Source organism: Homo sapiens, chromosome 6 (assembly GCF_000001405.40).
Source record: "Homo sapiens chromosome 6, GRCh38.p14 Primary Assembly".
In the NCBI taxonomy this organism is placed as follows: Eukaryota; Metazoa; Chordata; class Mammalia; order Primates; family Hominidae; genus Homo; species Homo sapiens.
This window is the reverse complement of record NC_000006.12, coordinates 8,714,773-8,727,625: the sequence shown is the minus strand read 5'-3', so window position 1 is coordinate 8,727,625 and position 12,853 is coordinate 8,714,773. Positions and strand designations below refer to the sequence as shown.

Here is a 12,853-nt window from a genome sequence, read left to right as displayed (position 1 = left end):
ATATCTGCTTTCTGAGTCAGAGCTCTTCAATTAGATAATTAAAGTCTCATACCCAAATGACGAGCTTATTGTTCCCAGAGTAGAATGACTTTCTCAATCATAGACACAGAGTAAAATGCAGAGGCCCCTACATCCAGCAAAGCTGATGTACATAGGACCACACGTAACGTGTGCTGGGATTCCTCTTCAGCAACAAGCACAGTGCTTTTCACCCAGTAGACATTCAACAAATTTTCATTACTTTATTGGAAAAAAAAACACAACGTGCAATTTGACTGAACTGCAGTAAAATCAATTAAGATTTTTATGTTTACTTTTTATGGAGTTTAGAAGGACATGGTAGTCTCATATCCAAGTTTGCTAGTTCATTACTGTCATTCTATTTGAGTGTCATCGTGAAAGAGGAAGGAAAATATTGATTATAAAAGTCCTACGAATTGCAAAGAGCACACACTACATCACGGAGAACTCCTTTTTGAATTCCTGTTCTCTGGGAAATGCCTGCTGGCTAATGTTTTGGTTTGAGGGCTCCAGATATCAGGAAAAGAAAAACAAGAAAATTCAGTAAATTGGCTAAACAACATAGTGCTCACCTCCCCCAGATTCAGAGGCTAAATTTTATTCTGAAGAGAATGTCTCACAATACAACCTTGGCGGTCATATACTGAAAAAGTTGGTGGGGAAAAACTGTGAAGCTCTTCCGCAGTGAAGCAAAGCATAATGACAGCAAGTTTTAAATTTCCACCTAGCAGGCAAATTCACTATTCCAGTATCACCAACTGAAGTGTTCTGTGGTGAAACAGAAAACACCCCCATAAGCAAAAGAGAAGACAGATAAAAGGAAGCGAGGTAAAGTGTGCCAAAGTCAAGCTTGCACCAACGTTTCCCAATTTTTCACTTTCTTTTTAATAGTTCATAACCAACAGTGGGCAATAAGCCATCTACAAGATGAATCATACACTTTTACACACATAGACTCATTTTAATTTACACCTAAACTTCAGGAAACATACATCACTATGAAGTCCTTTAATAAAAATGACAGATAAATGAAAATAAACGACTTGATTTAAAAAAAGAAAAAAACAGATTTTTCACCTTTACTTTTAATGAGAGAATCAGAAGTTTTGTTCTCCCTTGAAGTTAAATATAATTTTGTGTTGTATCAAATGTTTAGCACCTTTCTCTGCAGCTCCGAAGCAGCCCAAATGTAATTTGAGCTAATTCATGAAATGTAGTTTGTGTAACGATATTTATTGCCTGTGAGATAAATACTCAAAATATATCAGATTTATTGATGTCTTGAGAAAGTGGCATTACGGCTGCTTAGAGTGAACCTCTGGGCTAAATGAATATTCAGAGAAGTGAAAGCAGACCGCTGGTATGTGCCTTAAGAAAAAACAACAACAAACAGAAAAATAGCCGGGAAAACGAAATTGCCTACAGTCTAGCTATTTTAGAGTGACGTGTTTAACATCGATTGCAATAGAGATCTGAATGTGGGTAATGCAGAAACCTTTTCTATAAAAATGGGCACAATAGAATAAGGATACGCAGAGTAGGATTTGTGTTATTTCGGTTCTCTTCTTAGAAAATAACGGGCAAACAACGCCTGAAGAATTTATGAGCAAAAAGCTCTTGAGTATGTTTTTATGGCATTGTAGAATGAAAGAAATCATGCTCAGTTCTCAGACAAGATCAAGACAGAAGGACGACCCTGACCAACGTGGTGACACCCCGTCTCTACTAATAATACAAAATTAGCCGGGCATGGTGGCGGGTGCCTGTAATCCCAGCTACTCAGGGGGCTGAGGCTGGAGAATCTCTTGAGCCTGGGAGGCGGAGGTTGCAGCGAGCCGAGATCGCGCCATTGCACTCCAGCCTGGGTGACAGAGAGAAACTCCGTCTCAAAAAAAATAAAAATAAATAAAACAAACAATAAAATAATGCTATGAGTTAAAGTTTGCAAATCAATCATTATTTTTAGAATTTGAAGGATGTAAAGGAAATAAATACTTTAGATAAGTTTGTTGCCTAAATGGCTTCATAAGAAATTAAGGAGAAAGCCCTCAACTGAAAAACTGTTGGTTCATTGGGTTTAAGTTACTCTTCACTAAATAGTAGTTTGCTTTCTACTTCCCCTACCCACACCCTTTGCGATATATCTAATTTCAGAATTGGTAGAAATATATCTAATATATTTTTCACTTAAGTTTTTAATTTTAAATTCACTCTTAAAATTTATATTTGTTTCACTTTCCAATCTGCTTTCTTTGTTTCTGTAACAGAGATACAATCCATTTCTTCATCTATGAAAATTCTAAACATTACCATTTAAGTTCTTTTTCAGATTTTTCTATTATCTGCAGTCTCAAGAGGATTTTCCTGTTGGTTGCATTTGGTTTTCAGTTTTAGCTTAGGGTGATGTGTCAGTTTTATGGTATCAGTTTCTTGTCCATTTTATAGAACTTTTTTACCTGTATTCACAGTAGCATGGAATTCTAGTTTCTCACAAGGGCTTCTGTTTCTATCTATAACTAAGGGTGGGTGCATGGCTTCCAGGAGACTCCCTTAGACATTAGATTTGGTAGTGGTTTTATCCAGGTTAAAAGATAAAACAACACTTCCACATCCCACAGTGTCTTAGACCCATTGGTACGGAAACCCAAACACCTAAGAAAAATATCCAGCCTGAAAGCCCTGAAACACCCCAGGCAGGCTGTGGTTCAATTCCGTGACTCTGCATTTCTTTTTCTGGCAACTCAAGATTTCCCTTTTCCTGTTTTTGAGCTTAGCCAAATATTTTGCTTTGTTTTGTTTTAAACAAGCCCTGTTTTATCCAGAATTCCATATATCTGGGATATAGACACAGCCGCCCAAGTCAGCTTTGTCTGTGGCAGGGCACCAAAGAGAGGCAACAACATTCCTGCCACTTTTTCTTTAATATCAATGTGGTTTTTACTTGTAAAAGCCAGTCCATGCAACAAAATCAGAATACATTCTACCAGCAGAGTGACAATGAAAAACATCAATTACTATGGGCCATGTTTCCTAGGCATGTGATTGTTCACATAATTTTAGAAGCTGAATTATGTAGATAATAAAGTTATCAGATAGCACTAATGTCTTAAGCCTGGAAAGAAAGAGAAGTACTACTCACTAAAAAGAAATTGTAGCCAGAGGATACTAAATAATAATATAGTTGTGTATGGACAGCATATTAAGCAATTGGTGGTGGTGATGTCTGGGAATTGGGGGATATGTGTGTGTGTGTGTGTGTGTATGTGTGTTTGGGAGATTTTAGTTTCATTCCGATTTTTGGTTTTAAGTTTTGTTTATTTGAATCAGCATCCTTTCTCCTGGCTGTTTTTCCATAGTCAGTCTTGGTTCACTGAGACTTTTTTCATTAAAGCAAGTAATAGTTTTCCTCTTCATTTTTTCTTTTAGACCAAGACTGAAATTGGCCTGCAGATCAAAGACCATGGCAAAAAATTCCTGACATTGGAAACTGCCTTCCAAAACATCCCTGTGCCTCATCCCTTTCTACACATTCCATATAAAGAGATTGTTTCATTTTCCACCTGGCAACGCTTAAATTGTTTTATTTTTCTTCATTAAAACCACCACGCCTCTTCATTTAACTCATGTTTTAGTACCTTGATTCAGCAGGATCATAAAAACTTTTATTTTTGTTGTCCTTGCTTCTTTTTGCCGCGGGGAGAAGTAAAAAAGAAACAAGTTAAAGACTATACAGTTAACCCTTCTTTAAAAATATATAACTAGATTTCTAAAGGAATGAAAAAATATGGTACTAGTGGGAAAACTGTGCAGGAAAATCTATATTTAACTTGAAATAACATAACTTTTTGTGGGAGTGTTTGACATCCTCTCATAGCTGCTAAGTCCCCTTGAGTCCTCAGTAAATATTAATTATGGATAATTGACAATTTCCGTCTTCTAATGGAAGCTTCAGAGGCAGTTTTGAAGTTTCCACTTTGTGCTAGTGCAGCCTTCAACACAGGCCTTTTCTCTGTTTTGGAATGTAAACAAGATATGCCTATAAGAAGTAAGTGTGCATTTGGGGGGTCCCCAAAAAGAAGTCAGATTTACATAGAATTACGCAGAAAGAAATCCTATGACAAACAAGAGAAATTGGTTTTTATGTCTCTTTGTTTTTAAAAGCAAAAGAATAATGCCAGATTCTAACCAAACATTCTGTGTTCCAAATACATTTTCCATTGTGTACCAAGTTCCTCTCATGTGAATGCTCTTACTGACCATCTTGTAAATGGCTTAAGTAGTTACAATCCCCTAATTAGAAGAATATAATGGCAGTGGCAAATGCCACCACAGTGCCTTAGCCTGTTTCCTACCAATTTGACTCGATCAATCTATTATGTTTGCTGTAAATCTAAATGCATAGCGATCAGTGAATGACATGAACTCATTGTCTCAGCTCAGTTTACAATTTTATTTTGTAATGGGCATAGATGCATTTTAAATGTGACACAAATATAAACATGTGTACATATGTGCCTATATATGTATATATGTTTGTTTATATGTGTGTATATGTAGACAGGTATGTATATACACAATATATGTACACTATGTATGCTATATATACTGTATATTATATACAAAGTTATTTTTGTTTTCCCAGAGTTGGAGTCTCACTATGCTGCCTAGGCTGGTCTTGAACTCCTGTCCCCAAACTATCCTCCTACCTTAGCCTCTCAAAGTGCTGGAATTACAGGCATGAGCCACTATGCCCTATATACAATGTTCCATATAAGGTATTTTCCTCATCGTTCAATCAAATTAAAGTAGATTTAGTTCTAGAATAGAAAGAAAACTATAATGTATTTCCACTGTGATTTTTTTAGTAAATAAACAAATTTACAGCAATACCTAAATCTGAATTTTTGAGATTTAATTTCTATAAATGTTCAGAAACATGTCTTTTGTTCTCAAACAAGATTCACCTTCATTTGTTTTCCTCATCATAAACTGCATACTTAAGTAAAAGACTCTGAACTTCTCTTCTTCAGGTATCAACCATATAACTTCAACCACATGGATTTCTTGTTTGTGGATTGCATATTTCAAATGGAATTTGTGCTTATAATCCAAAACTGTTGGTAAGAATTTAGGTCACTCTATGTACCCTGCTCTGCTGTGCTTAGTCAAATTTTCTCAAATACGAAACTTTCAATAAATAATATGAACTGATAGTCCCAGTTCTAAGAGTCAAATGGGACTAAAAAGCAAGAAAGAATACTGCCTGCTCATCTAGTCACAGGCAGAAATTGGGAAAATCTTGCTTATCTGAATTCTATGAAAACTCACTGTTAGCCACAGTTACACTTTTTATCTGTTTATCACTCCAACTCAGAAGAAAATATCCCATAGCAAACTTTCCTACCCAAGATAATATTAGTAAGAATTGTTAACGCTTACAGAGAGCTTACTACATGTTAGGAACCATTCTAAACCCCTTACACAATTCATCTCCTTTAATCCTCACAATCCTGTGAAGTAGAAACTATTATTTTTTCAAAATTTAGATATGAAGAAACTGAGGTACAATGATGTTAAAGTAATTTGCTGAAGACTACATAGATTGTTAGTGGCAAAGCCAATTTAAAAGAAAATTCCACTTGCATTTGTCACTCACATTAAGCATGGCATTATAGAAGGATCCAGGGTGCGACTGCAGTTTAGATATTACATGCCCATATGCACTCAGGGCCAGTACACTTAATGAAGACAGTCTAGAGTGAGAAAAGTGATGGGCCAAGAATCAGCCGACCTTGATTTCCAGCATCACTTCCAGCCTAGCGCCTGATCAGCATTTAACCTTGAACAAACCACTTAACCCCTGGGCCTAAATTCCCAATCTGCACAAGGAGAGATTAGATGTTCTCCAAGGTCCTTTTCAACTTCAAAACGTATGTCTCTATGATTAATGGCTGAATGAATGTCACATTGATCTCATGACTTGTGGGTGTGTTGGCCATGTTAATGTTAAAGCTACTAAAATGAATCTATCTGCTTTCTAAATAGAGATTCAGCCAGTTTCTTCAGTTTAACAGGACTAAAGAAAAGACTGTTTTCCAAAGCCGTGAGTCTCTGAAATTTTTACCAGCACCAGTAGAGATTTGCTCATTCATTTATTATATTAAACTAATAATTTTTGAGTTCAAGTAATGTTCCAGGCATTGTTCTAAACATTGGGCTACATGTTTAGAACAGAAGGCAAATATGACTTCTGCCCTCATGAAGTTTCTAGCAATATATATGTTTGTATTTGTGTATGTGTGTGTGTAAACACTCATAAATGATACAGGTTGTGATAAATTCCAGAAAGAAGGTGAAAAACTTTGCTATGACCCAGAATAGGGAGGAAAGCTCTTTTCATAGACTTTTTGGGGAAGTCTAGCACTTTCTTAAAAATTGGAATGAAATTGTATCTGTTTAGTAATCTCATCAAAATTAAGAAGACTTCTACGGTCATTTTGATTTCATAGACTATTTTTCTATTAGGGATTACGCATTAAATTTCTGAAATTTGTTAGAATGGAAGGCCCACCTCTATCACTTTTGTTCAGTTGTCCTCTGTAGTCCAAATTACTTGCTTAGTAAGGTATGGCTGCTAATAGCAACTCTTCCTTGAGGTTGTCTTGAGGATTAAATAAGATAATTGGTATACTGCACCTTTTATCAGCCATAGAAAAATAATAAACTATCAACAATTTTCAGTCATTTTATCTGTATCTGAAGATTTTATATTTATAAGGAAGATTGTCCTTCTCGTTATGTTTAAAATAAGTATGAGCCACCTTACGTACTAAGTTTCTAGGATAATTCTAAATTGCTATTGAGCTGAGTCAGTAAATGTTGTTTTTTAATTTATAAGACACTCTGGCAGTTTCTCAAACCTGAGCGGGCATTAGAATCACCTAGAAGACTTCTTAAAATATGAGTTTTGGGGCCCCAGTTGCAGATTTCTGATTCAATACCTCTGGGGTAAGGCTGAGAATTTGCATTTCTCACCATTTCCCAGGTGACGCGCAAGCTGTTGGTCCAGGGACCACACTATGACACAGCAATTGCATCCCGTTACATGCCAGGCACAATGTGAGGATCTTTGCATACTGTCAAATATCTGATTCTCAAAATCACCCTGCACTGTAGGCATCAGGACACCTATTTACACAGAAATGAGAAGAAACTTGGCTAAGGTTGCAGAGTTCCCAAGGAATAGAGCTGGGTTTGAGCCTCAGTTTGCCTGTCCCAGAGCTCATTACAACACGTACTGTGCATTGAAACACTTTCTACCTAAGATTTACTGACAACTCTAAATTGATTCCTTAGAAAGACTGGGCCCCAGCAAAATATCTACATGACCATGGTATTTCAGTTAGAAAATTCATAAATCAAAAGCAAACTGAATCTCAGGAGGCTCTCTGTCATGATCACATGTGCTGCCTAAAACCAAAAATTAAAGTCTCATGAACCATATAAAAAACATTGGCTTGGCATTCAATTTTCTTTGTTTATAAAACAAGTGTAATATTTTATTTGAATTTTGAAAAATATATCTCCATAGAGAAAAATGAGTCATTCTGGAGGTTAAATCCACTCCATTCTCATTTTTGTGAAATATAAGTTTAATTGAAATGTAACAACAAGCTAGAAAGATTTGAGCTGAGTGAATGATGTTTGCTTGAGTTTTGATGATACCTAGGTGAAAGTAAAGACAATAAGATATATCCCTCAACATTATTAGGATGGAAGAAAATTCATAAAATAAATGAGCTATCATTTTAGTTTTAATAGAAATGTCTTTTTCACAGCCTCACCTTATTCTTCGAATGCACATAAAATATAATGTATTGAAAGGAGAAAAGGCAAGATGAACTCCTTTCTTGGGGTAGTAGCCCTGAAACCCAGCACACTGTTGGCATCCCACAAAGTGGGAGCAGGCATTCCTGTAAGAAGGCTTTCCCCGGAGATGAATTCTTATTTGCACGTATCATTTACAGCTTTGCCATGTGGGTTCAGATGAAAATGGAACTCAGAGGGGGGGCATAATTAATTGAATCAACTCAAGTCCTCTGACAAAAAAACAGACAAGTGAAAACTATCAGAGGTTTTTAGAGCTTCCTGGTAAGCTTCCACTCACCAGGAAGACATTCTGACTCCCAAAATGTGTGAACCCATTCAAGTGCGCGAGCAAGTCAGACGTAGAGACAAACTCTGCATTTAGTATCTTTTGAAAGCATACTTGATTTTTTTAATCAAATGTGTTGCTTGTGTCCTCATTGGCACATTCTCTCACTCGATTAGTGACCATCCTCTTTGAAAAGCCAAAGCACCTACTCATGTAACCAAACACCACCTCTTCCCCCAATAATCCATGGAAATAAGAAAATAAAAAATTAATAAAATTGTCTCTAACACTCAAAATTAATAAATAAATAAAAGCCAAAGCAGCACCATAAAACTCCCCAAGCCAGAATGCAAAAAGCAGTCTTTTTTATTTTGCTCAAATCTTATTTCAGAACTTTAATTTCGATCATGGTAAACTAAAGTAATCAATCATTCGGCTTTTTCCTTTATTTGGAATTACATTGCTCCATTGAAGCCTATTATTTAGCTTGCACAAAAACTTTAGTTTTCTGTGACATGAGAGACATGTAGTTAAATATATGAACCCTGCTTAGAGAACCAAAAGGAAGGTCTCTTTTAGTGGAGGAAAGGGAGAAAAGTGAAAGAAACTATGGATGTTTAAAATTCTCTCTTTAATTTTAAGAACCATTGAGAGCCACCAACTATGTAAAAGTAACAGCAGGTGTCCTGAGATTAGAAAAGTAGGCACACAGAAACCCAGACATCAGCTGGAGCCACCTCAGTGAGGAGCAGTATTTCTGGAGAAAAGAAGGAAAGACATGAAGGCATGTGTGCATTTAATCAATAGTAATTAGGCATTGTTATCATAATGGAGATCCAGTGATACTTGAGGGTTGTCCCTGGCCTTGATGAACTCAAATCTAGTGACAGTCACTTACACAACCATGCATAAATCCAGGTAGAAGTGCCACTATCATATTTAAAAAGCAATGTCCCATTATGTGCCAGGTGCTTTATACACATCTGCTCAGTTCCACAAGTTATTGACAACCCCCATTTACAGGTGTAAAAACAGATTCCCGACTTGTCCAGGGCATATAGCTGATAAGTAGTGGAGCTCGAATTCTCTTCTTGCTCCCTCTGCTAAAGGAGAGGTTGGCCAGGCGCAGTGGCTCACACCTGTAATCCCAGCACTTTGGGAGGCCGAGGCAGGCGGATCACGAGATCAGGAGTTGGGGATCAGCCTGACCAACATGGAGAAACCCCGTCTCTACTAAAAATACAAAAATTAGCTGTGGCGGCATGCGCCTGTAGTCCCAGCTACTCAGGAGGCTGAGGCAGGAGAATGGCTTGAACCCGGGAGGTGGAGGTTGCAGTGAGCCGAGATCGCGCCACTGTTCTCCAGCCTCCAGCCTGGGCAACAAAGCGAGACTCCGTTTCAAAATTAAAAAAAAAAAGAAGAAGAAGGAGGAGGAGGAGGAGGGGGAGGAGAAGGAGGAGTGGTCTTGCTAGCTGAGACTTACAACATTGACAGGTAAGAAAGACAAGAAAGGTAAGGGAGATAAAAACAGGGGAGCAATATGTATGAAGGGCTTTCCATGCTGTGCTTTATATAAATCACCCTTCCTGTGAGGGCAGGGTAGAAGGCCGGGTCCAGAAAGACTCCACAGGGAAAGTTACATTTATGTTAGATCTTTAAACGAGTAGCATTTGCCTCATCCTGGTGTCTTCAGCTGAAGGAAACTCAAGAGGGTATATGGATGTGAGCCCCCTGGTTTGTCAAGAAGGCAGACTGCAGAAGCAAGGGGGAAAAGAGGAAGTCTGAAAAAATAATTGGCTGAGGATAAGTTTAAAGAACTTTGAATATCTTGCTAAAGTATTGGATATTATTCAGGAGGCAAAGCTGAAGATGAGGTGACGGTTAAAAAAAACAGTTGCAATTTATACCTTTTATACACTCTATCAACTCTAATACACAGATTAGAGTATCTAGGTGTTGTTCAATGGATAATTGTCAAGTTACATTGAAGGCTGTGCTACTGCAGTGTTAGTGAAACTAATCACTCTGATTTATGTAGGGCTTCTCTCTCTCAAGTGCCAGGCACTTTGAATATATTATCTATTATCTTTTTTCCTTACAACAATCCAATAAGATTGTCATCATTGTCTACATTGTATATATAAAGAAATTGGGTGTATAGAGGTTATGCAACCTCCTAAGGACAAACAGTGAATATGCCACAAAGCCTAGATTTGAAGGCTAGTTTCTAATTCTAATACCTCTGCTCTGTCTATTCTTCTGTGCAGTTTTTCCAGGTGCACTGATGGATTTGTACAAGTCTATTCAAAATATTTGCCTTCTCTCTCACTCCAATCTACCGTTCCTTCTTCCCTTAACTGTGACTTGAACAACCCACGTTGTTCAATGGCAGCTTAGGTTGGAGATGAAATATGTGATGGTGAGCACGGGGAAGGTAATTGACCCCTATGGGGATCAGAACTAGCACTTTGTTCTTTTCGAAGTAGTGAAAACAGATGCAGTGAGCAGGAATTTGGACTCTGAGTAAATTAAGGAGAGTTAAGGCAGAGAAAAGGGGCGTTAGTGCCAACATGAGATAATGATGACAGAACACCAGGTGATTCAAACATATCACAACGTACAAGTGACCCTCTGGTTTTGCAAATGAGAGCATGCACCTGAGTGACAATTTACTACCAAAGAGGAGCAGGGGAGTTGGGAATAGAAAGAGCCTTGACTTAAGTGAAGAGGAAACGAAGCCACAGAGGAAGTTCAGAAAAGGTTCCCAGGGAAAACTGTGGGAGGCCTGTGCTTGTTAGTTACTTCCAAACCATACACAGCCTAATACATGTGTTTGCTTAAACCCTTGTACTGTAGCTTCTTCCAAGAGTAAGTAAGAGGGACTCTGTGTCCACTAATAGCAAATGATGCTTTCAGTGTCAGAGTGGGAAAAAAATGAGAGGTTCAGGATAGACTGCTGGTATAAAAATCAAAGGCATATTTGAAAAAGTTAGAGGATATGAGAAACTATTACAACATTTAGGAGGGCAAGGGGGAGCTTTTTGTCTAGATAGTTATCTATTCCTTTTCATTTTTTCCTCTCTGGGATGAACAATCTAGGAGAATAAACCTAAAATAAACTAGCAAATAAAACTCTCTAAAAGAAGCTAAAAGAGAAAATGTTAGGAAACTGTCAAGTCTCAATCATAATTTTGACAAATAACATGTCCTGAAAGGACATTAGCTTTTCTCCAATTCCTTTACCAGTATGTTTTCTTAAAAAGGTATTTATTAAAAATCCACAAAATAAACCAAAAAGATCTTGTGAAAATGTATTTCCAAAGACAGGCTATTTTGTTATTACTTTGCTACTTGGAAAGGCATTATTTGCTTGAAATTTTACCTAGGCATAGGCACATTCTTTCATTCTTTTTTTAAATGCCATATAATATACTCTATTCCCAAGGAGTGGCTTTCCTGCCTTAAGAAAAAAATATTGTCAATATAAAAATATTCATGTTAGAATTTGCAGGGAGATTAAGAGCCGTCGAGGTCCACTTTAAATTTCAACTGACTAAAAAAACCAGCTCAGAGAGGTAATGATTTATATCCTGTCACAGTGACTTTAGTGGCAGAGAGGACATTGGGGCCTCTACGTACTGAATCCATGCCCACTTCTCTAGCCACTACAACATTCACAAACAATTTTGAACTTTAGAGAAACTATACTCATGAAAGAGTGTCCCCTTCACCCCAAAGGAAGATGGGAAACCTATTACCAGTCACTTCTGGAATAAAAAGCCAAGCATTAGGCCTCCAAATACTCATCTGACATCTAAAAGATGACGCAGATAATTTGTAGGAACCGAGGAGTAAATATTATATTTGTAGAAATACTACTCAGAAAAATATATACTTTAAAAGATTGCTGATTTTATAATTTACCTGCACAGTGTAAGTTTTTTCACAACTCCACCCATAAACCTTCAGTGCAATCACCCCGCCATAAACCCATTGCTTTAATGACAAAACAGCTTATAATTTCTGCTATTAAACATGAAACCTATTATTCCAAATAGATGTCTTCTTTATTTTTTTAATCTTAAAAATCAAAGGTCTATTTTTCCTCTGTGTATCCTGATTGGAATTTCAGAAGGAAGACATTAAGAATCCACAATTTCTTCACATAAAAATTGAGTTTTCATGTCAAGAAATCCGTGAACGATGATCTAACAGAGCTTCCCCTAGAGTACTAAAGAAGATGGGACCTTCCCTAAGTCAGCTTTAAACCATGAGAGCAGTCCATCTCTCTGGCTGTGTAACTGTTGAGCTCTCACCCTCTACCACAAGAGAAAGAAAATCACTACCAGCATTTGATCTGGAGTCTGCTCAGGGAATCCTGAGTTCTACATCCAACAGTGCAGATGGAGAACAGAAGGCTGTCGAGCGTCACCTTCTCTGAGGTGTCCACATTCTTTAATAACATCAGTTTCCCTGGTTTCTTTTCCTTTTGGCCAATAATGGGAGCAGACAAGCAGTGGCCATTAAGGTTTTCTCAAATGAGAAAACAGGAAATAGAAAGAAAGAAAGTCTTCTCCAAGCATGATGCTTCATAAACCCTAGTCCACATATATCCTCAGAAAATTAATGTGTCCCTGTTCTTCAGAGGCTTCTGCAAGAGGACCTCCAGATAAAGAA

General features: G+C 37.3%; 1 long non-coding RNA gene across 1 annotated transcript in view, besides 1 other annotated feature; it reads right to left on the bottom strand.

Moving 5' to 3' along the window:
* The window catches only part of LOC100506207 (uncharacterized), a 349,823-nt gene that overhangs the window by 57,820 nt on the left and 279,150 nt on the right, over positions 1–12,853 (bottom strand). The window lies entirely within an intron of this gene.
* Positions 5,626–5,795: an enhancer, noted in NCBI's record as "experimental_96748 CRE fragment used in MPRA reporter constructs". NCBI's record gives its function as "activates a minimal promoter by MPRAs in K562 erythroleukemia cells, with activity observed for both the introgressed and non-introgressed 6:8722149 variant alleles {active_cell/tissue: K562}" and the evidence as "EXISTENCE:reporter gene assay evidence [ECO:0000049][PMID:34662402]".